Source organism: Homo sapiens, chromosome 10 (genome assembly GCF_000001405.40).
Source record: "Homo sapiens chromosome 10, GRCh38.p14 Primary Assembly".
Taxonomy (NCBI): Eukaryota; Metazoa; Chordata; class Mammalia; order Primates; family Hominidae; genus Homo; species Homo sapiens.
The window spans coordinates 127,385,691-127,412,699 of record NC_000010.11 but is presented as its reverse complement, the minus strand read 5'-3'; the positions used below and the strand labels follow the sequence as shown (position 1 = coordinate 127,412,699).

At 47.6% G+C, this 27,009-nt stretch overlaps 1 protein-coding gene and 1 long non-coding RNA gene across 17 annotated transcripts in view, besides 1 other annotated feature; one reads left to right on the top strand and one right to left on the bottom strand.

Moving 5' to 3' along the window:
* DOCK1 (dedicator of cytokinesis 1) overlaps window positions 1-27,009 on the bottom strand; it is a 547,089-nt gene that overhangs the window by 39,817 nt on the left and 480,263 nt on the right. For 14 of the 16 annotated variants that reach the window (NM_001377544.1, NM_001290223.2, NM_001377546.1 and 11 more), the window contains 5 exons: window positions 9,556-9,645; window positions 8,271-8,375; window positions 3,522-3,663; window positions 3,309-3,387; window positions 1,776-1,860 (listed from right to left, as the gene is read on the bottom strand). In NM_001377544.1, coding sequence (NP_001364473.1) covers window positions 1,776-1,860; window positions 3,309-3,387; window positions 3,522-3,663; window positions 8,271-8,375; window positions 9,556-9,645 — 501 coding nt within the window. Of the gene's footprint in view, window positions 1-1,775; window positions 1,861-2,283; window positions 2,446-3,308; window positions 3,388-3,521; window positions 3,664-8,270; window positions 8,376-9,555; window positions 9,646-27,009 lie in introns of all 16 variants that reach the window. The other 2 variants (NM_001377543.1, NM_001377556.1) reach the window with 2 other exon arrangements.
* LOC105378551 (uncharacterized) overlaps window positions 12,509-27,009 on the top strand; it is a 36,497-nt gene continuing 21,996 nt past the window's right edge. Inside the window, exon 1 of the long non-coding RNA XR_001747642.3 lies at window positions 12,509-16,267. This is a non-coding gene — a long non-coding RNA (uncharacterized LOC105378551). The remainder of the gene's footprint in view (window positions 16,268-27,009) is intronic.
* Window positions 20,390-20,891: an enhancer, noted in NCBI's record as "H3K4me1 hESC enhancer chr10:129190073-129190574 (GRCh37/hg19 assembly coordinates)". NCBI's record gives its function as "activates a minimal SCP1, AML or CMV promoter by ChIP-STARR-seq in naive H9 embryonic stem cells {active_cell/tissue: H9 hESC(naive)}" and the evidence as "EXISTENCE:reporter gene assay evidence [ECO:0000049][PMID:30033119]".

The following is a 27,009-nucleotide window of genomic DNA, read 5'->3' as shown; positions in this document are numbered from 1 at the left end:
GGGAGGGAGACTGGGTAGCCACCACTCTTTACTTGAGGCAACCCTGCTGGAAGGGTTCCGAGCTTTGCTCTGGTCAGGAGTAGGGTGTTAATTCACCTTTGACCTTTGCAGCCTAGATGCCTTCGGACGGCACACAAGAGAAGCCATTCTCAGCAGAGCCGGTCCTCCTTGGGGGTCCCCGGGCTAATGCCTCCTTGCAATACAGGAGTACAGAAGGATTTCCGGAGGTTTCCCAGGCAAGACGGATAAACATTAACATTTTAAAAAAATTATGGCTTATTTGATGCCTTTTCAACATGGATCCACTCACTTGAGCCCAGGAGTTCAAGACCAGCCTGAGCAACATAGACCCCACCTCTATATAAAAAAATAAATAAAATAAAAATACAAATGAATCCATGAAAGCAGTTTGTATGTAGAATTTTTAAAAGGCTCTAGGGCCAGGCGCGGTGGCTCACGCCTGTAATCCCAGCACTTTGGGAGGCTGAGGCGGGGGGATCACGAGGTCAGGAGATCGAGACCATTCTGGCTAACACCGTGAAACCCCGTCTCTACTAAAAATACAAAAAATTAGCCGGGCGTAGTGGCGGGCACCTGTAGTCCCAGCTACTTGGGAGGGTGAGGCAGGAGAATGGCGTGAACCTGGGAGGCGGAGCTTGCAGTGAGCTGAGATCATGGCACTGCATTCCAGCTTGGGCGACAGAGCGAGGCTCTGTCTCAAAAAAAATAAACAAATAAAAATAAAAAAATAAAGAAAAAAGGCTCTAAAGATGTTTGCTGTTATTTCTACAACTCGAATGCCGTGGTTTGCAACAAGGGGCAGATGTTTTATTTTGCAATGTCTGGAAACTTTATTTTTTTGATGGAGTTTCACTCTCGTTCCCCAGGCTGGAGTGCAATGGAGCGATCTTGGCTCACTGCAACCTCTGCCTCCTGGGTTCAAGCGATTCTCCCGCCTCAGCCTCCCAAATAGCTGGGATTACAGGCGTGCACCACCACGCCCGGCTAATGTTGTACTTTTAGTAGAGACAGTGTTTTACCATGTTGGTCAGGCTGGTCTCGAACTCCTGAACTAATTTGATCTACCTGCCTCAGCCTCCCAAAGTGTTGGGATTACAGGTGTGAGCCACCATGCCTGGCCTGGAAATCTTTTTGATTGGTTGTCCCAACTGGGGTGGTGGCACTGGCACCTAGTAGGCAGTGTTCAGGGATGCTGCCAAACATCCCTGGATGCACTGGATGGTCCCCACCACAGAGAATAACCCGGTCCGTATTGCTAGTAGTGCTGGGGTCAACCCTGCAGTTGTGTGTTGTGCTCCACTGAAGTTCAGGTGCTGGATACTGAATGAGGAATGAGCACCCGGGTCCAGATCCAGTTCATGTGCTGACTGCTGTGTCACCTGCAGAAAGCCACGTCAGCACCCCGCACCTCAGCACTCGGTGGGTCCATTTTTAACTAGAGATGACAGGCACCTGCTCTCTCACCTGGGGCTCGCAGGGAAGGCAGTGCGCTACTCATATGGGAGCTCCGGCATTTGGACGGCACAGTCTCCTTATTAAATATCTCAGTGACCTTAGTCATATTGTTAGTGAAATGGCAATTAGTTTTTCTAACTTTGGAGGGGGTAATAGATTAAGATTTCTGCACATAATACACAAAGACATTTAATATGGCTCCGTGGCTGCCTCTGAGGCCACGCTTCTCCAGTGGCAGTTCTACTGGTGGCGGAATGATATTTTTTGTTGTTTGGTTTGGTGGTTTGTTTGTTTTTTACCGCAAATTCATTGTCTGGGTTTTTCTCTCCCTTCCGGATTGGCCGAGAATATTCAAATCGCTGGACCTCGTTCACCCTGTAAAAACTGTACAGAGACAGACAGATCATTAGATATTTAACCCGGCAAATAGCCAATTTGCTTTTGGACACGGGGTCTGGCCTTAGAACATGTCACTGCCTCCTGTAAAATGTCCCTAACCTTGACCTGAAGCCATCGCCTTGGTGTCCTCTCCCAGCCAGGGAAATGTTGGCAGGTGGAAAAATTAACTTGAGTTTTTGCCTCTTCCCTGTCCCTGCCAACCCTCGAGGGAAAACAGAAGCTGAGTAAGAGTGAAATGAGCAAAAACAGAGGAAAGGTGAAGCGAAGGAGAGAGAAAAAAGCTTTTGTGTTCAACGTATGTGTTTATTATTATTTTAAAAAAGTATTACATACCTTAGTTTCAGATCTACAAAGCACAGATTTTGCAACCACCCCAAGAGTGACACACAGGAAACATAAGTAACCTGCCTCCGCGGTCGGGGTACGAGGCAGGCTTTCCGCATGCACAGGGCAGGGCGTGGAGAGACTGAGACTGATTTCTCCCCTGCACTGAAATGCAGGCAGGCTTCCACAGCAAAAGAAACTACTGCATCTGAGAAGGCTCTAAGCGTCACTATTTGCTTAAGGCCTCTGAAAAAAAATGTTGCAACCCTTAAAATGTATGCCTTGCGAGAGCAATCATTTGTAAATAAACAGGGTCCCAGTTTATTTCCCATTATTGCTGATGCAAGGTCAAAGAAACGATGAAAGGTTAAAGAAACCACCAAACTTCAGGAAGCAAAATGAAGCTGATCCTAAGGAATATGAGGTCATCAAAGAGATTAATATTTTCACCAGAACATGGATCAAACAGAACAGAAAAGTCTTAATATCAAACACATCTGCTAAAGCAGGTCTTTCTATGCCATTGCTAAGTCAGGTGCGATACAACTGACAGGCAGAAAATCTCACTCAAATATGGACAGTTGACTCAGGAGGTTTAAAAGCCCCCTCATAACCCTACATTATGGAATTGCTGTGCTGTAAGGCTGAAGGGTTCTCCTGTGTGTCACCAGGAGCAAATGTGCAAATCCCATTTCCCGCCTTCTAAAATGCAAACATTCAGGCCACACTCACATGTATGAACTTGGCTTTGCTGGGAACAGGCAGGACTTGTGCACTGCTGTGAAGTTCCCTAGGGGATTGTACCCCACAGGGCAGGTCTATAAAGGAGACCAGACGGCCTCCACTGCCCTCTTAGGTTTTTGCTGTCAGCTGACTTTGGGAAAGGAATAGGCTTTGCACGCTCCCAGCACATGGATTAACATCTCCTGTCACTTTTTTTGGATGCTGAAAATAATTAGCTTCCCTTGCTCTTCAAAGAGGACAGAAAGAGCATTTGGAAAGCGAATCCATGGCCAAAGTCCGTCCTTTAAAAGGTGGAATTATTAGCAAGAGATCTGTACACAGCCTCTTACAACCCTCACGTTGGGTAAGAAAAATGGGATTATTACCTTACAATCTGCTCTGACACTGGCCTGTGAAACTTAGGAGGCAGATCGAGTTTGGGCTTCACTGTGAAGCACTGAATATCTGAGGTGAGGGGGTTAAGGATCACTAAGGCAGCATAGACATCAACCATGAGAGAGGCCCCCCACCACACCCAACCACCCAAATGAATGGCATCACCATGGTTTCAGAGTTGATGAGGTTGTCTTAAAGGATACACTGGCCAGGAGAGTTTTTAATATCGTCGCCTGGTGGAGATGTTGTCTTCATTTTCTCGGCGTTTGGAAACTGAGTTAAGAGCCGAGCCTCAAAATCTTCCCGGCGCTCATACTCTTTCCCTCGGTAAATGAAAACTTTTCCCTGAAAAGGGTGACATTCATTTCATAACACCACAGAGAAAGGGCCAGGAAGAGTTCACATGCAATATGCTGGCCTTAAAATATGCCTTACGGGTTCTTACAAAATGTCATTAAATTTAAGAACAACTTGTAATTTTTATTTTTTTTTGTACTTGCGTTGGCTTTGTTAATCAAGAACACATGGTCATCAAGCATGTAAGTTAATACTGTTTAAGAAGCACTCAGCACTGCGCTACTAACATCTGTGATATGTTTTCATCTTGACAGTAACAACTGATTTAAAAACTATATGAAAAACCAAATGAGCACTCAGAAGCCCACACTAGAATGGGCATGAAATGGTTAGAAGGGGGCAAGGCAGCCAGGACAAGTGGATAATGATGTCCACACTTTTTCTTGTTTTTGTTTTCTTCTCAGGTAGGCCCTAATGAAGTTGTTTTCATTCTGCCATAAGGAATTTAAGAGAGCTTGAGCTAAGGTGGGGCCCCAGCACCTGCACACGGCCGCCGGGCGCTGACTCCTGTGAGACACAGCCGAGGCGAGCAGAACCCGAGGGGAAGGGATGCAGACCAGAGCCGAGAGCTACTAAGTTCCTGGCCTCCCCCGAGTGAGTGACTGGCGATGGACGGAGAGCAGGACTTCCCTTCCTGCATTCAGAATGTGTGTGCAGGTCATTATTCATCAACACATGTCAAGATAAAACATACAGAGCTCTTCTTGGAAGGGCTGGGTTTGGTCCATCTCAAATGACACTTTTGTCACCTCCATAAATTCCAAGATGGAATGTCAGTCCACTGGGGTTGTTATAGACGGCTAGGCTAGACTAGGCAGTCCGGGGCGGGGAGGGGAGTTAAGTAGGTAAGTGTTCTTCCTTCCACGAGGCTGTCTTGTTGAGGTCATTTCTGCCTGAGTGTGACACAGTCCTCTGTAAATATACCTGTAAGGAACGTTTTCCTTGCAAGATACAACAGGTCTCCGTTTTTTTCCCGATTTCAACACGTGTGTTCTGAGTGTGAACTCGGTCACAGAAAGGGGCCAATGAGTACCTAGTGTAATGCTGCTGCTGGTTTTGGAAGCCTTCTGCCTCCCCCCACCCATCCTGTCCCATCTGGGGCTGTCTCAACCGAAATGAAAACTGCCACAAGGAGAAGACAGCGAGCAGAAGCCACAGGGGTACAAGAAACAGAAGTCTGGGGTTGGGGGGGTAACACTTTCCAGGACGGGGCGTGGTTGCTGAGGTGCTTCTGTTCTTTGATCAGGGGACACGGGGGAAGAACCTCCAGGTTGGCTGCTCCCAAGTCAGCTGCAGCCCTGCCCCATCTGCAGTCATTCCTGGACAGGTGCCAGAGAGGGAGACGAACAGAGACAGAGACAGACAGAGAGGACAGCATTTTGCTGCATATTTTTACACTTACCCCCTAAAGACTAAGATTGAAGTCAAATTAAAATTTGTCTAACTAAAGGATTTTCAAAAGGATTAAGAGAGATTCTATGACACTGAATCAATTGATCCCTGCTGTGGTCAGAACGTTTGTAGTCCCCAAAATTCAGATGTTGAAACCTAATCACCAAGGTGATAGTATTAGAAGGTGGGGCCTCTGGAAAGGCTCCACCCTTAGGAAAGTCATCAGTGCCTCAGAAAAGAGGCCCCAGAGAGCTGCCTGCCCTTTCCACCCCATGAGAACAGGTGGAAGGCGCCATCTATGAGGAATGGCCCTCCCCAGACTCCAAATCTGCTGGCACCTTGATCTTGGACTTCCCAGCCTCCGGAACTGTGAACAATACATTCCTGTTGTTTATAAAGTACCCAGTCTAAGGTATTTTGTTACAGCAGCCCCAGTGGACTAAGACAGTCCCCTTCCCTTGCCCCAGCTTATTCTGAGTTCTCCTAAATCGCTAAAAAAAGAACCAGTTTAAGAATTGAATTCTTTTTCACTTTGTGCTTAGATATGTCTTAGAAGTACCATTATGGAAGAAAAATGCTCTATTTCTCCCCACCGCCCCCCCGAAAAAAAAAAGTCAAGCAGAAACCAGATAATATGTCATCTTAAATACAGTCTGAGCAACTTCTAAGGCTTCTATATAAAGCCACGCACTTCCAAAATTCAGTAAGATTTAATGGATAACAGACTACTATCAAACTAGCAAGCATTTTTCTTATGCTTTACATGAGAAAACATAATAATAAAAATGTATATAAAGACTTTAATAGAAAAAAGCTAGTGAGTTATAGGTAAAAACACGAATAACATTTTCTGAAAATGTCAGTTACTTTGCATTCTGAAGTGATCCTTTTGAACATGAAAACAAGGGGGAAATGTACATATAGTCAAAGATATTTATTCCTTGTAAGGTCTATAAATATCAACATGAGCACAAAAAACAGTGAGACCAATTTTTAGAGAAAAACAAAGCAAAAGGGACAGCTAGTCAGTTCTTGGAGGCTCCTCTCCAGCAGGGCATGAAGCACGCAAACATTCTGCCCACGTTTTGGTAACTGCCAGTGTCATTGGCAGATTGACCCCTGCCAGCTCATCTGTGAAGTGTGATAAATATATTGCTGCAGACCCACAGAATGATCCAGGTGTGGCGGGAAAGTCAGTTCAATATTAATCGAGCCTGTTAACCTCCATTCAGACTTTTCATTTTGTCCTTTTGGTGGTGGAGATGACCCAGCACCGCCCCTGGAGCCTGCTGTGTGTGAGCTCCTGGCACAACCTGGCATCTATTGGCTCGGGAGCTGCAACGTGTCCTCCGCACCCGGCACTGCCCTCACATAATATTCCACGCAGGCTGCTCCCTTGCTCTGGATTCTGGGATAACCATCCTGCACGGATCCAGAGTTGGTGCCTACATACCAGAGGTAGATCTCCATCCACAGGGGCCACACGCACCATCTAACACCAAGCACTGCACAAGGCTGCATGGCTTAGGGTCCACCTGCCTCCCTTTCCTAAAGATGTATGTTCCGGAGCACACACACACTCGAATTAAAGCCTTTAGCAACAGTAAGTGGCTTTAACTCCAAGCTCATTCCACCCTTCAGCTTTGTTTTTTATTGAGAATGAAGCTAATTTCAAATTTGTCTCTAATTTAGAGCTTGTAACTAAGCCTCCTTTATTCATTCTTTGGAAGGGAAGACTTTGTTCAGAATCTGTGCTTCTGATCAACCGCTGTCTTTGCTGCACGATGAAGGCAAGAGGAGAAGCTGACCAGCAGTGACCAGGAGTGACCAGGACAGGGCCAGACGCCTCCGTCACCAGGCAGGACACTGAGTGGGCAGCCAGCCTCACCTCCTAGAGCAGGCCAGAACTGTGGTGCTCCCCTGTCAACAGTGACATGCCCTTCCTAAGGGGAGGTCTGTATCCTCTGGGTGCCGTGATGAAGAGATGTCACACTATTAGTGACTCCCGTGGAGTCGGAAACACAGGACCCCAAATGAACAACGTCTGGAACCAGGGGAATCTCCCAACTGGTTTCAACTGCCCCAGACGGCTGTGCTCAAGACACAGAGCTTCTGCTTCCTAAAGCCAGAGCAATCACACATAGTCTCCTAGGATAAGAGAAAACCAAGTGTCCAAAAAAAAAAAAAAAAAGTCATAAGAAATATCAGGAAATCATGACCCACTGGTCAATGGCATCCAAAGAATGTGTTCTTGAGAAAATGTATAAACAATTCTATGGTAGGCCAGGCAGCACTATTAATATTTATGTAACTTCTCCTTTGGCCTCATGTGAATACTGGGAAATGGGCACCTGGCAGGTGATCACGGTTACTGCTTCAATTACATGTCTGAAAGCACATGCCTGTCTCAGGGATGGAGCCTGGTTTGGAGTTTCTAGCACCGTGGCCATACAGATCCATTTCCAATTTCCCATATAATTAAAAACATACATCTTCATAGCAGCACATTGGGCGGGGACAACCCAAATGTTCATCAGTGGATCAATGAATAAATAAAATGTGGCCTCTCCATGCAATGAAATACCATTCAGCCTCAAAAAGGATAAAGTTCTGACACATGCTACAACCTGGATGAAACTGGAAGACATTCGGCCGAGTGAAACAAGCCAAACACAGAAGGGCGAACACTGTACAATTCCACTAATACAAGGTCCCTACAACAGTCAGATTCATAGAGACACAAAGTAGAACGGTGGCTGCTGGGGCTGGCAGGAGGGAGAATGGGGAGTTCGTGTTTAATGGATGCAGAATCTCAGTTTTGCAAGATGAAAAAGTTCTGAAGGTAGATGGTGGTGCTGGCCGCACAACAACGTGACTGTATTAATGCCACCGAACTACACACCTAAAAATGGCTAAGATGGCAAATAGTATCACATATCATATATCACACCTCAATTAAAATAATACGTGTAAATCTCTGAAGGAGGGTCCTTTTACGGAAAAATCAGATAGAAAGGTTATATGCAACCAAATAAAATCCTGTCAACCCCTCTCTGCCCCCCGGGCTAACCACCGAGCTATGGCAGTGTAGAGAGTTGCACGATCCCACGCGGATGCAAACTCCCCACCCTTCCTCAGAACGGGAAGGGGATTTTCTGCTGGGGGAACAATCATGGCTCAGATTAGGCAGAACCAAACTTTACCCGCAGGAATGTGGGGAACCCTTGTCCGTAGTAGCCAACAGCAAAATAGTCAGGCTTGGGCCTGATCACTTTGACGATGTTTTCATAAAACTGAGCCTGTTTTTTCTGGAAGGAAAAAAGAAAATGCATTTCAGGTTTGAGTATTCAAGCATGTGTGCCTCTGGATTCTTCTTGCGGGCTCTTTAAAAGCTCTGGCAACTTCTATAGGGTGGGAGGGGGAGATGGTGGGAGAGGGAGATGGTGGGAGAGGGTACTGAGGCTTGCACCTGAATTTCATCTCACTCCATCGTTTTGACATTATTTTTCACTCATTCTCCATCATTCCGCAAGGGAATCTGAACCAACTAGCCCAAATTCAGCAAAAAGTTGTGACTTATGGGTGTTTTCAATAACCAAAGAAGTGCCATAGAAATGGCTGGCCCTTAGTATTTTTTAAAAGGTATAGGTCAGATAGTGGGATACGTTCAAAGAGAATTTAAAGGAACAGAATCGTTCTGTTCTAAATTCATGACAGACATTCCCACATCATTAAGGTGATCTGCTGAATACAAAAATGACAAGGTGGAGGAGGTAGCAATTAGAAACTAACAGCATTCCCATGGCAGAAGAAAGGTCTGGTCATTATCTATCCATCCCTCTCTCATAGAAGGGGTCAGGTTTTTTTGTTTTTTGAGACGGACTCTCACTCTGTTGCCCAGGCTGGAGTGCATTGGCGCGATCTCAGCTCACTGCAACTTCCACCTCCTGGGTTCAAGCGATTCTCCAGCCTCAGCCTCCCAAGTAGCCAGGACTACAGGCGTGTGCTACCACGCCCGGCTACTTTGTTGTATTTTTAGTAGAGATGGGGTTTCACCGTGTTAGCCAGGATGGTCTTGATCTCCTGACCTCGTGATCCGCCTGCCTTAGCCTCCCAAAGTGCTGGGATTACAGGCGTGAGCCAGTGCGCCTGGCCTGGGGTCAGTTTTAAACTAGTACAAATGTTCACAGACTCCTGGGCTGTCAAGACCGCTATACACAAGGTCAGCAGTTGTTTACGTACAATTTATTCATAGAAGCCTTAAGAGTTTGGTTATAAGAGCTGACTTGGGACTAAAAAGTAAATATTTATGGGCCAAATATCAACCAGCAAATTAACTAAAACCATCTTCCTAGGCAAAACGGAGGGACATGGCCAAGGTCCCAGAGTGCCTGGGGTGAACCCTAACATTGACATGGAAAGAGAGATTCCTGAAAAACCAGCTGAGATTGCCTGTGTTCATTTAAATAAAAAGAAATAAAGACTCACCAGCAATTCGCTGAGTTGCTCATAATCAAACATTTCGTTCTCATACTGCTCGGCTAGCTCCTTGCCCAAGGCAATGGCCTCCTCCCACATCTGTGAGTTAAAATAAAGAAAAGAAAGAGAAGCCGAGGCCTGAATTGTGCAAAGAGTCAAACAGGAATGCAATCATTCAAAATAAAACAGTGTAGAAGTACATTTGAATGAAACATTATGGGAATAACACCGAAAAAATACAAATATTTTCTTGAGTCTCATGTCTTTTGGCTCGTGACCTGCGGCATCAGCTGGCCAAAGAGGTCAATCACTGGCATGTCAATCACGCAGGCCTCTGGCCATGGTAACAGCAGTCTGTCAGCCAGTCCTCACTGCTCCTGTCTTTGCTCTCCTGCTGCCAGCTGTGGCCCGAAGCCCGTCTGTCGGAGCAGCCTTGGAGCCAGGGAAAAGGAACCGTAGGGTGAAGAGAGGCTGTGGGGTGCCATTTATGTAGAAACTGGGCGCCTGACTTGGCTCTTTTCCCAAGCTGTCCACCTAAAAAATGCTATGTCGAATATCACCAATGATCAGAAATAACAGGGCAGACTTCGACTCTAAACTAAAGCTTGCAGAAAGTTTGATGTATGTGTGTGACTATGCTATGGATATAAAGCCTGTTATCATTTTGAAAAGGGGGAACTTTGTAAGGTAAGTAACTTTCCAAATAAGTGATTAAAATGTTGATAAGCTTTTGACACATGTGGAATAATTTTTTGATAGATAGTTGGCCTGAATTTCCCTTATTTTTCTTGGGAAAAACAAAGCGGATTACTGGAGAAAACCATGGAAAAGTAAGAGGAACCACCTCTTCCAGGAAGCCTTCCTAGCTGCCGCCCACTCTCCTCCTCTGTGCTCCCACAAAGACCCAGGATCCTGCTGCCTCAAAACTTTTGGTAAGGTACTGAAACTAGCATGACCCTTTGTCATTCCTCCTCAGAGAATATAAGCCCTTGAGGACAGGGGCTCAGCTTTATCAACCTGTAAAACCTCTGGACCTTAATCCAGGGCCTGCTTAACAAGGTTTAGTGAACAGAACTGCAGGATGCTGAGTTACAATCAGGAAAGCTTCCTATATGCTGCATTCAACTTCCATCATTCCCACAAGACGGTAGCGCCAGTCCTGAGGGGAACCACGCAGCTTTGGAACCACCCAACAGGCCAGGCTTTCTAGGCCGCGAATCTAGACTACCCTTGGCACTGAGCCCCCACCCGCCTGCTGCACAAAAAAAGATCAAGGCATTGCAGTAAAGAAAGAGTTTAATTGACATAAGGCCAGCCATGCTGTTACAGCAGGTAGCTAGTCAGGCATGAGCGGGGCAGGAGAGGGCTGTCCTGACACCCTACCAGGAAAGTCAGGTGACCGTCAGATGATGGTCAGGCAGGTGTACACTGTCTCTCTAAAATAATAATTGGTCACAGACAGTGCCAGGGAAAGGCAGTTTCCCAAGAGCTAGAAACACAAGCTGGTGATCAGCAGCTTCCTGATAAGATCTCAGGAGCTGGGTGAGTGGGCCCAAGCATGTGAATTGAGAGGCAAAATGGCGGAGTTTAACTGGTAACCTTCCAGGGGCATTCCACCGGAAAAGGGGTGCACGACGCTGGAAGTAGGCCAGCATATCAAACCCTAAGTCCAAGGTCAAATGGGGCACTTGACCTCCAAGATGTCTGCTTGGCCCTCTTCCAAGTGTACTTTCTTTTCATTCCTGCTCTAAAACTTTTTAATAAACTTTCACTCCTGCTCTGAAACTTGCCTCGGTCTCTTCTTCTGCGTTATGCCCCTCAATCGAATTCCTTCTTCTGACAAGGTGAGAACTGAGGTTGCTGCAGAGCTATACAGATTTGCGGCCAGTAACACCGCCACGTGGGAGACGGTGTCATTACTCAAATCAATCTCCCCAAAGGTTCCTAGGGGAGGGGCTTTTCAAAGGCAGTTTGGGAGAAGGGGTGGTGGCGGCCAGGTAATGGATGCTTGCTGCTGATGAAATCACAGGGGGTCAGAGCTGTCCTCTTGAGCTGAGTTGCTTCTAGGTGGGCCATAGGAGTGGGGCTGGTGGTCTGGGTAGAGCCAGGTGTCAGACATGCAAAAAACCTGAAAAGATCTCAAAAGGCTCATCTACGATAGTGAAGTTGTATATTTTGTGAGCAGTCTACACCTTAGCAGAATTCAGGTTTCTCCCCTCTTCCTAGCCTGATGGCCTTTCATTAGCTTTATCAAGGCAGCTGAGTTTTAGGGAAGGCCTATTATCATTTAAACCTTAAACTAGAGGTCTCCCAAAGTTGGCTTAGCCAAAGCCCAGGAATGATTACAGGAGAGGCATGACTGGGGGTGGGAGGTGGGTGAGGATTTAGATCAGATCTCTTTTACTGCCATCATTTCCTCACTGTTAATTTTTTTTGCAAAGGTGATTTTGGCTTTTCCCAGCTTACTCTATGTCCAGCCACCTGTGCTCTCCGGTTTAAGGCCTCCAATCACCTTGTCAGGTGGGCATCTGCATTATACCCATTTTGCAGATAAGGAATCTAGGGATCAGACTGGTAAGTAGCTTGCCAAGGACACACAGCAGATAAGCGGTGGGCTTGACCCAGCGTGGCCTTTTTGAAAGTCCTTGCTCCTGATGGCCACATAGCAGCACTTCCAAGCTGCTTCCCCACCTCCTGCCAGGATGGATTTGAAAAGAGTCCAGGCTGGCCTTGAACTGCAGGTTCCCACAGGGGAGGCAGACTGCCAAGCCCCAGACCTGGGTCACCCATGGCACTGAGCCCCCACCCGCTCACTGGCCTTTGCCTTTCCTTTCCAGGATGACCCCACTGAAGTCCTCACTCACTTCAGAGCCACCCAATAAACTTAAGAACACTGTTTTACTTAAATGCTCCCAAAGTACTCTTGTCATAGCCACGACGTAAAGAAACCATCTGCTTTTTTTTTTTTTTGATGAGAGTAAAAGTTATTCTACAATCAGAGCTGCATTTTAATACTTTGAATAACAAAATAAAAGTAAGCCCAAAGAAGACAAAGGTTTCAGAGCTGGGACCAGTGTCCAGGGAGGGTAGGAGGTGGCCCAAGACATCCTGCCTACGGTCCCTGCTCTGCTACCTGGTCCCTTCCCAGAGTCCCCATCTGTCTGTCTCCCCCATCCTGCTGAAGGTTTAAAGTTGCCTCCCATTCCTGGAATATCTCAGTCTGCTGCTCTAAGTCTTTCGTATGTCCTCTGCCAGAGCCCCGGCTCACATTTTCTAGGAAGGGAGAACTTCCCTACTTTTAACGTTTTTTTAAAGCTCCAGTGACCACTTCCTCTCTGAGCAGATTTCCATTTCAAAGAGAACATTACCTTTCCTTGTAGGTCTCTTACACTGGATTCTTCTTCTTATTTTTTTTTAAATTTTCTGCAAGCGGATACAAACTCTGTAGCTGCCTAGAATGCCAGGGCTTCTAATTCATTCCTGAGTAAAAGCCTAATCTGTTTTTATCCTAAATGACAGAGAAGATACTTTAGATACATATCAAAAGTAATTGTTTTTAAAAGAAATACAAGTCATGAGTAAATATCTTCTCAGACTCACCCTCAGGTTGCATGGTGGTATCTTCTATCAGATTTCCTATAAATATATATCTCTCATCCCTCCCTGCTACCCCTGGCATGTTCTAAAGGACTCTGCATTAAGGAGATTTTCATCTACTTTTAATTGGATGGGGCTTTAAAGAGAGTGTGGGTAATTCATACTTCCAACGTGAATACCTTGGAAAATGTTTCCGTGCCAGAGAGAAGGCAGATTCAATATGATCTAGATTTAGATTATCTCAGTGAAAGAATCACTTTAACCTCTGCGATTGAACACCCTGGTTTGGCTCCGTTCTCAGAAGTGCTACAGGCTTATGAGGTTTGCCACAGCCCCAAATGAAAAAGCCCCATATCAGCAGAAAGCTTTATTTTCTGATGCGAAATCCTTAATCCAATTTACGGCATTCTTGAAATTGCCGGTTGACTTGCAGCACGGAGCACGGTCTCCCCACCCTGCTTTCCCCCAGATGATACGAGACGTGTTCTCTTGAGATGATAATCTTCTCTCTATTCTTCTGAACCTCTTGGTTTCAGGAAGTTCCATTTCTTCAAGTTCCATGAATAGAAACTTGAATAAAAATTTTCTTTTATAATAAAGCTCCTTCCTTAGTTCCCAGACAGAAGCAGCTGTAGAGAACACAGCAGGAATTGATTTCTTACCCATGAGGTGATGTTGACAATTCTGATAGGATGACAACACGGATGTCACAGGACAAGGGAACAGCAGCAGATGAAAGGAAAGATGCCAGCCGGGACAGCCATCCCTTTCTAATAATTCAGGCTGGCGATGACTCACCAGGATACTGGTGGGCGACTCTGGTTTCATTTGCTGACTAGCTGTAAGTAACTCACCAGTGGAGATACCTCACAGGATGCTTGAATTTCAGACATTCTTCTAAAATTCATCTGTTCTGTTTTTTCACAGCAGTTATTGGGAAAAGAGTCATACTCAATTACCTTCTGAATTTCCAGAGTCCCACACAGGTCTCTGACATCAAAATGGATTAAAATCACTGGTGCGGAAGAATCTGGAACTCTGGGGGAGGTCCCTCAGCAGCACAGGAGCCAGGGAGGCCCAGGACTAGCAGGAGGCTGCGTTCAGTCCGTTCTTTGCTCAATGCGTGCTGAGTGACAGCATCCCTTCCAGGTGTGGGGCTGGCGGCCCTGGTGAGGTGGGCCTGGATGATTCCAAGGGCCCAGCTAGTCTTGGTGTTGCCTGCAACTACGCTGCAAGGAATGGAGACCCTTTGCAAGCATCACCACTCTCTCCAGGCCCCTCGCTTTTTCCTTGAGCCAAGCCTCATCCTTGGTCCTCCTGGAGTGCTCAACCGGCACTGACTGATGTGGGTGCAGGATTGACTTTTTGCAAAGACCTTTCTGACACAGACTCAGGCCTGATTCCCTGCACCAGCAAAGACGGTCTGCAGCTCAAAGCTGACTGATCTTGCAGTAATGATGCCAAAGTCACCCCAAGTGTGCACAAGATGGATCAGCCACTTCAATGTCATACTGGAGCCACTGCATGTCACACAGGAGCCCCATCACACGGGAACCTCTGCCTTGCCAAATCGGAGTCACTGTTGTGTAATACAGGAGTCGCTTCCTGTGTCATCCAGGAGCCACTATTTGTGTCATCCAGGAGCCATGACCCATGTCATAGAGGAGTCACTGCCCAGGACATGCAGCACCCACTACCCAGGACATGCACAGGTCACACAGGAGTCGCTGCCCGGGTCATACAGGAGTCACTGCCCGTGTCATACAGGAGTCACTGCCCGTGTCATACAGGAGTCGCTGCCCGTGTCATACAGGAGTCGCTGCCCGGGTCACACAGGAGTCGCTGCCCGGGTCATAGAGGAGCTACTACCTGTGTCATGCAGGAGACGCTGCTGAGATCACATAGGAGTCGCTGCCCGTGTAACTCATGCTCAGATCACATAGGAGACGCTGCCCGTGTAACTCATGCTCAGATCACAAAGGACACACTGCCCATGTAACTCATGCTCAGATCACATAGGAGACACCGCCCGTGTAACTCATGCTCAGATCACATAGGAGTTGCTGCCCGTGTAACTCATGCTCAGATCACATAGGAGACACTGCCCTTGTAACTCATGCTCAGATCACATAGGAGTCGCTGCCCATGTAACTCATGCTCAGATCACATAGGAGACACTGCCCGTGTAACTCATGCTCAGATCACATAGGAGACACCGCCCGTGTAACTCATGCTCAGATCACATAGGAGTTGCCGCCCGTGTAACTCATGCTCAGATCACATAGGAGTCGCCGCCCGTGTAACTCATGCTCAGATCACATAGGAGTCGCTGCCCGTGTAACTGATGCTCAGATCACAGGAGACGCTGCCCGTGTAACTCATGCTCAGATCACATAGGAGTCGCTGCCCGTGTAACTGATGCTCAGATCACATAGGAGACACCGCCCGTGTAACTGATGCTCAGATCACATAGGAGTCGCTGCCCGTGTAACTCATGCTCAGATCACATAGGAGTCGCCGCCCGTGTAACTCATGCTCAGATCACATAGGAGTCGCTGCCCGTGTAACTGATGCTCAGATCACAGGAGACGCTGCCCGTGTAACTCATGCTCAGATCACATAGGAGTCGCTGCCCGTGTAACTCATGCTCAGATCACATAGGAGTCACTGCCCGGGTCACTTATGTTCATCAACATGTCTCCTTTATTCCACGGCAAGTCCTTATTAGTCAAAACAGAAAACTACTCACTGAGCTTGTAATGCCCTAGATAAAAAAATGAAGATTTTTTTTTTTTTTTTTTTGTAACAGAGATATGACATTTTTTCTTTAGGCCAGGACATTTGTAGTTTTGCAAAGAAAGACCTTGAAAAGACTAAAGCAGGCAGCAAGAGATACAGTTGCCTCTTGCTCGGTGCTTTAACTGGACAGAAAGAGACACCGTGCTGCTCACTCCTGCCTTCCACAGGCAGCTACTGGCCACTGGTGAGGGAGTGGACTCCAGAGACAACAGGAGGAGAGGAACAGCAAGTGCAGACCATCCTTTACGGAGTGTTGTAGAAAGAGGAGGAGAAATGGGCAGTGGCTGGACAGGGGAGTTGGAACAAGAAAGAACTCTTCTTAAAGGTGAGAGCAATAATGGCATGGTTGCAGGTGGGAGGGTGGGAGCTGACAGAGAACAACACATGGGTGCTGCAAAGGGAGAGTGCAGACTTGCTGGTGAGATGTCCTGGGATAGGGGGATCCAGGGCACAGGCTGGGGAGTCAACAAACATCACTGCAGCTGTGACCTGGCCCAGGACTCTCTATGCACCCAGCATCACTGCAGCTGTGAACTGGCCCAGGATTCTTGAATGCAGCCAGCATCACTGCAGCCGTAACCTGGCCCGGGATTCTTGAATGCAGCCAGCATCACTGCAGCTGTGACCTAGCCCAGGACTCTCTATACACCCAGCATCACTGCAGCTGTGAACTGGCCCAGGGCTCTCTATGCACCCAGCATCACTGCAGCTGTGACCCTGCTCATTTCTCCCTTTCCTTGACACCCTCCATTAAATGCCCTGCACAGGACTGCTCAGTGTGCACCCTCGCTGCCTTGCTCAATGCTGAAAGGATGAAAGGACCTCCATCTGCTCTCTGCAGCAAGTGAAGCATTCCCTTCCTACATCTTCCTCCCGGCAAGAACTCTTGGCTTCTAGGCCAGTGGGTGCCCCAGCCACCCCTGGCACTTGCTTTTCTGGCTTTAACCCTGTTCAAGGGTCTTTGACACTGTGGAATCTGCTAACTTGAAGTCTCATGACATCACTTCCATCTGCCACTGGCTTTATGGGGCTCAGGCCTGGCCCAATGCCCCACCCCTCGTCTCGTCTCTGGCTCCCACCCTCCCTCCTCTAAGTCTGCTGCCACCATGTTGCCAGAATTACCCCCTGAAAAGAGGAAAATGAAATCATTATTTTCTACTTTCACGAAATTTCCATTGGGTCCTTGTAAGCCAAATCTTCAGGAGACAATACAGGGCCACTGACAAACTAGCTCCAATGTCTTTGCTATGCTCTGAATATTTGTGTCTCCCTCAAATTCACGGGTTGAAATCCTCACCTTCAAGGTGTTGGCATTAGGAGATGAGGCCTTCGAAGGTGATTAGGTCATGACGGTGGAGCCCTCATGAATGGGATGAGTGGCCTCAAAACAGAGGCCCGGAAGAGCGCCGCCACACCTGCCAGGACATGACTACTCAGAGAAGGCACTACTTATGTGGAGCAGGCAGAGGGCCCTCTCCAGACACCAAATCTGTGAGTGCCTTGATCTAGGAATTCCCAGGTCCAGAATGGTGAGAAATGAATCTGTGGTTTATAAACCACCCAGTCTGTGGCATTTTGTTATAGGAGCATGAAGGGACGAAGACAGTCCCCTGCACTGCTATCTCCCAGAATGGCTCTACTTCCCCGGAAAAGCGAGATGTCATCAGGAGCTCTTCCCCTTCTGGCGCTATTCTCACACTCTGAAATTCCTGTTCCTCCCAGCCATCATCTGGCAAACTTAATTTTACTCTTCAAGAAGCACGAAATGTAACCACCTCTGTGAAGTCTTCTCTAGCTCTCCAAAAGAAGGCATCACTCCTGCACCTGTGGGATAGGGAGACCCAGCGCCCACCTGTGTGATGGGCGGAAGGTGGGTTTTGTTATTTATCTGCTCATATGAGAGCCCTGATGCTAGAATCGCCTCGAGGTGGGCCTGGCTCCATCTCGGTATTTCACGGCGCAGGACGGCACTGGGCACACTGTGGGCTTTGGGTGGAAAAGCTTGTTAGTGATCCCACATAAGCTAAGGGAGCATTGTTGTTACTGACTCGAAAATGGACTTTCTCATGCTTTGATGATCAATTACTGCATAGGAGCAAATCATAATGAACATATGATCTCTTTGAATATTCAGGCCAAATTCTGGCTGAATAGGTTCTGCTAATATCACATTTTCAAAAATTCTAGAAATGCCAACAAGAAACCCATATGAGGGCTTCATTATGTTGACCTGCAGTCCCTCTTAATAACAACTGTGTTTCCAAAGGGAAACTTAGAAGATGTGAAAATTTCACCCCAAATACTTGGAAAAGAGATGCAAACATTTGACCAAAAATGGAAATTTGCTCCAAACTCCTATTTTTAGTTTACACAATGATGTAAAACGCTTTTTTTTTTTTTTTTTTACATTGGTGCAAGGCAAAGTGTGAACTTTGTCAAGGGAAGGTTATTTTAAGGGAAAATACAACAGAGCTCCAGCTGAAAATAGTCACAGGGCTTCATATATCACTTGGGCTACAAATTATGTATCGCATTTGTCAACCTGCCAGGCTGTTTCTTGATTTCAGAGGTGGCTGGTGTTGGCTAATACTGACTGTCTCACTCTGACTGCATCTTCCTCATAGAAGGACTTCTATTTTTGACCCTCATCCTCCACAGAGAAGCCTGGTAATTTTCAGTCAAGTACTTGGATTAAGGGCTTTATCGAAAATTACTAGGCCTCAACCAAACACAATAAGACAGACAATTCAGAGCATCTTCAGAAAAGAACACTGGTCTGCCATGATAAAACCAAACAGAAGGCTTTTGGGGCACACTCAGGCGGGCGGCAAGAATGGAATGGAAAAAGAGCAAGGAGTCATTATTAGCTCGGGAAGGAGGAAACGTAAAAGAATGAAAATGGAAACAGATGGAAATGACATTTTGCAGAGAGAAAGAAAAAGATTAAGAAACCAAGAGCTAGGCTGAAAGACATTCAAAACTTTAAAAAACGGTGGAAAGGCAAAAACAGAAGAATGATTCCGTGGGGAAGAAATACAGAAAGATAACAGAACATCATTCAAAAGCCCGTGTCCAATATAAAACAGCAGCAAATCCATTTTGCCTTGCTGGTTTCCAAGCACAAAGGCAGAGAAACTTTAATATCACCCGATTCCCGTCTCTCCCTGCCCCCGCCCACTCTCCCGGGGAGCACAGAGAGATGCCATCGCAGGGGGCCTGGGATGGGGACCCCTGCTCCCTTAACAGCCTGCTCAGCCTTGTCCAGAGGCAAGCTTGTCCTGGATTCTGGAAGCCCCTATTTCCCGTAGGAAGCTGTAGACATTTCAAACAGTGAATGAGCTCTAGGGTGTATATCCTTCCCACAGAGTAAGTACGTAATGAAGATTTCCTTAATTGCATATGGAAATGGGCCACGAGGAGACAGGCTGGATCAGTGGAGCTGTAGCCGGGTCATGGTTTTGCCAGACTGACGTCCCACCTGGCTTCCATTTTATCATCTTGCAAGCCCCGGTAATCACTGGTCTCCAAGCTTAACTGAGGTCTTAAGTCTCCTTACCCCAATACATTTGTAAAACTGGAATTGCGTTGTTTCCCCTAAAATGAAATACATGTAAGATCGAACCAAGGAAATTCTTGTAAACACTCCAAGGGCTGTGGGCACACGCTCAGGACGTGAGCCTGGTGCACGTGGCGCTCTCAGTCAGGTCGGTAAGTTCTGTGGATGCTGACGGCCCTCCCTGCATGCTTGTCTGCCCGTTCGGTCACTTAATAAACTGCTGTAGTCATTTGGACGGAAGATTGTTATTTTTAACATACAAGATTCTAGACAGGAAAATCCAGCCCTGCTCTTGCAAGAATTTGTCTCCGTCTGATCCATAACCTTTGCAGTGAATGTCGTGCTAAAGTCAAGTTAGTGTTAGCCTTGGGAAAGGAGCACACTGACAAAACCCAACTGTGATGCGGCACGTGGCAGAGTGGGGTGGGATCTGCCCCCGACCCGGCGCTGGGGGTGGGGAGGTGGGAGGCATGGCCTTTCGCTCTCCCAGGGGCTCAGTCTGAGTCAGGATGCAAGATCCGTTAACAAACAAAATATGCCCCAAATAAGGAACTTTGTGGAAAGTCTGGGTGACGGCCACCTTCTTGATTGTGTGCTGTTTGCTCAAGTGCTGGCCAGAATGTGCTCAACTCACTAACAAATGACCACCCTGAAAGCCCCGTGCCTGTGTATGTGTGTGGGCAGGGGGTGTCTGGGACCTGGCTGTACTCACTGTTCCATGTTGCTGTGAGCCTAAAACCACTCTTAAAAAGCTATTTAAAAAAATGGAGTGGAGCCCAGGCCACGGCACAGCTCCCTCAGAGGGAGATCCAGAGGTGGCAGCCACAGCCACTGCCTCTGCTCTCAGGAGCTTAAGTCAGCACAGGCCCTGGGGACTCAGGGATGGTCCCTGGAGCAGCTGGGACATCACCTGGGAGCTTCTCAGAAATGCAGAGCCTCGAGGCCCACCCCAGACCAGCTGAATCAAAATCTGGATTTTAACAAGATTCGCCGGTGAACTCCAAAAGCCACGAAAGTTTGAGAGCAGTGAAATATGCCCAGAAGGCAGGAAGGCAGCTGTCATGGCAGCCGTCACACGAGACAGCAGCAAGAAGCAGCCGGTCCACGCCGGGGCAGACCATGGGAAGGTGCAAGGGCTTGGGGAACAGAGGGCATGTTCAGAAGGCCAGATGCTGTGGGTGATGAGAGGGTACATCTGGAGGCTCGATTCCTACTCTAAGGGGCCTCATGCCAGGTGAGAGGCCTGGATCGCCTGCAGAGGAGATGGGAGAATCCCTGAGGTTTGGGCATCTTTGAAGCAGTTCACGCTGTGATCCAGAGGCCACTTTATTAGAAACCAGACTGCTATCTATCTGCAGGAGCGGAAGGGTGGAGACAGGCATGGGGCCTTGGGGAGGAGAGTGGGTAGGGATCTCAGACAGACCCAGGTGAGAGGGACCGAGAGCTTACAAGGAGACACAAAGTGAACTGGATCTAGCAGCAGGGCTTCTGCCCAGAGGCCCGAGTTGTTCAGAAGTGGCCCAGGTAGAAGTGGGTCAAGATGGTGCAGATCTTAGAGCCAGTCTGTCAGCGGGGAAGGCTCGCTATTCCCTAAGGCACGTGCATAGACAGATCCTGAGGAGCAAACGTGACTTATCCTTGCTAAGCCCGGGAAATGAAAAATGAGATTATAATGGGATTTATCCAAAGCACAAATGAAAACAACATCACCGAGGCGCATAATTCTAAATTTTAATAATAAAATAGGTATCGGAAAACTCTGTCTTGCTCCAACAAGAAGATGCTGCTTTTTCTTGATTTCTTACACCTTATCTTGGCAGCTGCCTGTTTCTACCTCTCTCCTATTTGCCTCATCTGTATTTCCTTAAGGGCCATGTGAGAACTCCCAAGTCACCCTTCCCTCCAGGTTCCCGCTGGTAACTGCCGTAGTCTTGACAGCTGTTTCACCACTACAGAAATGAAATTGAGTCACAGGAAAAAAACATCATATCTTGGTGCTTGTGATCATGCTTTTTTCCTTGCCATTTCGACATACATTTTATTCTTTCCAGACTTGAGTCCCCATTTTGTAACTCTTTCAGAAATATTTTCGCTGTTTAAATATTCCTGTAGTCTAAGGAGTAGATACCAACAGGCAGGCAGGCAATTCTACTGCCTGTGAGGCCCCACAGGACAGTGGGCAGCTTCCGCTTCCCAGCCGCATGTGGGCGGCAGTGCTGGTCTGACGATGTTCTTGGCGCTCAACAAGAGCAAAGTCTTTGACTCAGAGCAGCACCGTCCAACAGGAACCACCGTCCAATAGGAGCCACATCCGTGAATGTTGCATTTCCTAGCTGCTACCTTTTAAAGAGTAAAATTAATTGTAGTAATATTGACTCTATCTAAAATATTACTATTTCAACATGAAATCTATACAAACAAATGAATGAGACACCTGGTATTGGTATTAGTTTGCCAGGGCTGCCATAATGAAGCACTGAGTAGGTGCTGGGGGCGTCAAGTCACATTCATTCACTTCCTCACTGTTCTGGAGGCCAGGATTCTGCGATCAAAGTGTCTGCAGGGCTGGTTTCCTCTGAGTCCTCTCTCGTTGGCTTGTAGATGGCTGCCTTCTTGCTGTATCCTCAATATGGTCTTCCCTGTGTGTGTCTGTATCCTAATCCCCCTTCTTATAAGGACACCAGTCAGATTCGATTAGGGCCCACCCTAATGACCTCATTTTACCTTAATTACCTCTTTAAAGACCCTATCTCCAAATATAGCCATATTTTGAAATACTGAAGGTTAGGATTTCAACATAGGAATTTTGGGGGGATGCAACTCAGCCCATAAGAACATTTGTTTTTTTGTACTTGGTCTTAGAAAGATGGTTCACGTGGGCCCAATGGCCGCATGTGGCTCAGGACTCAGTACTGGACAACAGTGAGGGTTAGAGTCCTACCAATTAATTGAGAGTTGGTTTCTCTGGTGCTCAGCTGCTCAGAGGGCTTAAAGAAATATCTGAGACTGAGTAATGTATAAAGAAAAGAGGTTTAATCAGCTCACAGTTCCATAGGCTGTACAGGAAGCATGGCAGCAGCCACTTCTGGGGAGGCGTCAGGGAGCTTATACTCACGGCGGAAGGCAAAGCAGGCACAGGACCGAGAGCAGAAGGCAGGGAGGTCTCACAGCCCCTCTTTTTTTTTTTTGTTTGAGACAGAGTTCCTGTCGCCCAGGCTGGAGTGCAGTGGCTCAATCTCGGCTCACTGCAATCTCCGCCTCCCAGGTTCAAGCGATTCTCATGCCTCAGCCTCCCAAGTAGCTGGGATTACAGGTGCCTGCCACCACGATGGGCTAATTTTTGTATTTTCAGTAGAAACGGGGTTTTGTCATATTGGCCAGGCTGGTCTCAAACTCCTGACCTCAGGTGATCTGCCCCGCCTCAGCCCGAAGTGCTGGGATTACAGGCATGAGCCACCACGCCCGGCCGGTCCCACACACTTTTGAACAACCCAGATCTCACAAGAACTCACTCACTCTCACGACACAGCACCAAGGAGGAAATCCACCCTTATGACCCAATCACCTCCCACCAGGCCCCACCTCCAACATTGGAGATTACAACGACTTCAGATTTGGGCAGGGACCCAGATCGAAACCATATCAGGGCTCCACACCAATCAAGGCCCTCCTTCAAGTTTCCTTGGGCTGTGTCACCTGCCCACTAAGGCCTGTGATGACCTGTGGACCATTTAAAAAGTATTTTTCCCCCAAGATAATTACAGTCTGGGAATGGAGTGTGGAAAGGTGTGCCCTGGGCCCTCCCAACTTCAAGCTTCTCAACCTTCAGCCGTGGCCTTTGTCATTCCACTGCATTTAGGAAAGGCAGGAGGACGTTATTTCTCAAATGATGGCACATCCCCAAAGCAGCCGGGGATACTCAGGCCTCAGCCTTGTTTCTTAAACAAAAGTGATTCTAAGTCCGGCACAAAACATCACACTTCGAGCTTCTACTGTGTGCCCCCTTCCTCCTGCACTGGCCACCTGGTGGGATTCCCCACATCGCAGTCACGGGGGTCAGGAGCCCATTCTCTCAGGCTGCTTCTCCTGCAGGGTTCTGCCTACCTAAGCCCCCTCTTTAACGGAAGAAGGAAACTCCACGACAGAGAAACGAGGATTGAGGCCCAACAAGTTTTATGAGATGTTATTCTCACATCTCTAGTTGTGGGGAAGCCGAGTTATTTGGGAGACTAGTGTGGACGTCGTCTTTCTCAGAATACATGCATACTTAGGGGATTTCTAGATGAACTTTTGTTAATCTAGATTGGATGGTGCCCTTGATTGTTAGACTCACCTGTCTAACAAGCTGTGTGGTGCACGTGGGTGCCGCTCACACTCACCTGCCCCTAAGTGCACTTCTCCACCCCTTGAAGTCTGGGGTGATCATGTGATCTCCTTCAGCCAATGACATGAACACTGTCATTTTGGGGCAGAAGCCCCAGGGCGGGGGACTCTTTGCTGTCCTCTCCGGCTGTGTTCCTCTGTGGCGGAACCTCTGTTCATCTGGGTTCCGAGCCAAAAGGAGGATTCGGAGCATGTGTGAGAAACACACCTGTGCTGTTTGGAGCCATGGAGATTCGGAGAGGTTCAAACTCTAGTGCAGGCCATCCAGATTGTTACGGAAGATGAATTATTTCCTACTGCTCTTTCTCCCAGAAAATGTAATGCTTGTTGATGTTAAAATGAATTTTTTGCCTTGCAGCTGATCACTCAGATACTTCAAATTTCATTTTATCAAATTCTTTCCAGCACCTGTTCTTCATCTTACTTTAGTTTTAGAGGGATAAGGAGGCTTTGTTCCTTTTTAACATTCTCGTGGAAATATTATGGATATTCAGAAGTGGCTTTTCCATCGGTTTTATCAATGCAGCTACTACGAAGAAAATCCTCCTAAAACTCATTCTGATTCAAGGCCAGCCAATGATCACTTTGCCATAGCCTTTGTTCTGTCTCCACCAAAACACAGGGACATCTGAGGACATTCCTTGAGTCTGTTTTGCTTTAGCTGCCCATTCCATTTCATCACTTGAATTCATTTTTTCTAAGGAGGGCTTTCTCAACCTGGACACGACAGGGATTCTGGGCTATTTCTTTGTGGTGTGGGGGCCATGTGTGCACTGCTGGAGGGTTAACAGCACCTTCTCTTCCCCCAGTCAGGAGAACCCACAATGCCTCCTGCAGATCTCAGTTGAGAACCACTGTACTGAACCGAACACATTCGTTTTGCCCCTCCATATGATTTTTTTGATGAACTATCACAATGTAGGAAAAGATATTTGGCTACCTTTGCTAAAAAAAAAAAAAGACTCTGTTTTTTGATTTATCATTTATTGAAGGCCACCTGTCCTGCCATACATGAGCATTTCTCATCTGTCAGGAAGCACTGTTAAATGCTGACTTTTCATTCATTTGTTCATTCTTTCCACACACGTCCATAATGTAATGAGCATGTGCTGTGTGCCAGGCACTGTTCCGAGCATTAGATGCATGGTGGGGAATTGACGCGTGAGGTTCTATCTTCACAGAGCTCAGAGCCTACTGGGGAACTCATTAAAGAAACACACAAGCAAATCTATCATTGCAAATGATAGTGGGTGCCATAAAGGAGAAAAGAGGATGTTTCCGTGGCTGGAGAACAGGTGACATTTAAGCTGAGACAGGAAGGAGTATGCCCAGGGCACTGCAGGGAGACATTCCTTGAGTCCACCATGCACGCGTGGTCCTCTACCACAAAGTAACAGGTAGCCCAGAATGCCAATCATGCCCAGATTGAGAAAGCCTGGCTTAGAAAAAGCTAATTCAAGTGACAAAATGGTACAGGCAGCAAAAGGAAAACTGACTCAAGCAACGTCCTCAAGGCAGTGCAGCAGAAACCCGCTGGGCAGTGGCAGAGAGGGCTGGTGCATTTCAGGACGCAGAAGGGCCAGTGTGGCTGGAATGCAGAGGGCAAGGGAGGGAATGAGGGTGGAGAGGTCGCGGGAGCCAACGCTGGTCAGAGGATGTGCTGCCACAAAGAGAGCCCGGCAACAGCCATCAACAAATGCGCACATTCCTTCAGTCCCGTGACCTCTGGCCCTCGGGCCTCCCGGCCACCCCAGGGTCCCTGCCTCCTGCCCTGCCCTGCCCTGCCCATTCTGTAGCACTGCTCACCCTGGAGCCAAGAAGCCACTGCCGGGAAGGGATGGCTGCATTTGCTCCATTTCTTTACCAGTTTGCTGAGAAACAGGATTCTCCTGGCTAACCTAGTACAGTTATAGTAATTGGCCCTAATCCTCAAAGCTTCTCATTCCAGAGAACAAAAATATATCCTGTTCCACTACAGCAGCGGTCCCCAACCTTTTTGGCACCAGGGACTGGTTTCAGGGAGGAAAATTTTTCCATGGACCGGGGTGGGGGATGGTTTCAGGATGATTCACGGGCATTACATTGATCGTGTACTTTATTTCTATTATTATTACATTGTAATACATAACGAAATAATTATACAACTCACCATCATGTAGAATCAGTGGGAGCCTGAACTTGTTTTCTTGCAACTAGATGATCCCATCAGGGGAAGATGGGAGACAGTGACAGATCATCAGGCATTAGATTCTCATGAGGAGTATGGCACCTAGATCCCTCACACGCACAGTTCACAATAGGTATCATTCTCCTGTGAGAATCTAATGGTGCTGCTGATCTGGCAGGAGGTGGAGCTCAGGTGGTAATGCGGGCGATGGGGAACGGCTGTAAACACAGATGAAGCTTTGCTTGCTCACCCGTTGCTCACCTGCTGCTGTGCAGCCTGGTTCCTAACAGGCCACGACCTGTACCAGAGGCTGAGGACCTGGGGTTTGGGGACCCCTAAACTACAGGACTGGGTGTAATTCACAGAACATTTCCAATCCTTATTTCCAACCAGCCTTTGGGAGCCCACATGCCATTCTGAAAACGTCAGACTTTCTCCCTGTGTCAAGAATGGCAGGGACAAATAAAGGATGCCGCATCGCTTACTCCAAATGTGAGCAGAATCCCAAGCTCGTGACCACGGGGACTCTGTCGAGTCATTGTTTTCAATGGGGTTTGGTTTACGTCAACAGCCACAAAAAGGGGCAGCCATCATCACTCCCGGGCATCAGTACAATTGTGGGTAGGACTGTGTCCCCAGAAATATTTAAAGTCCTAACCCCTGATATTTCTGAATCTGACCTTATTTGGAAACAGGGTATTTGGATGTAATCAAGGGAAGATGAGGACCTGATGGAGGAGAGTGGGCCCTCGTCTAACCGCTGGTACCTCCTAAGGAGAAGGAGACTGAGACAGAAACTCGCATGAGGAGAAGGCCTGTGATGACGGAGGAAGGGCTTGGAGCGATGTGGTTACAGATGACCAGTGCCAGAGACCGCCAGCAACACACCCAAAGGAAAAGGCACGGGGCAGATTTTCCCCTGCAGCCTTCAGAGGGGGCGGCCACGCCAACACTGTGACAT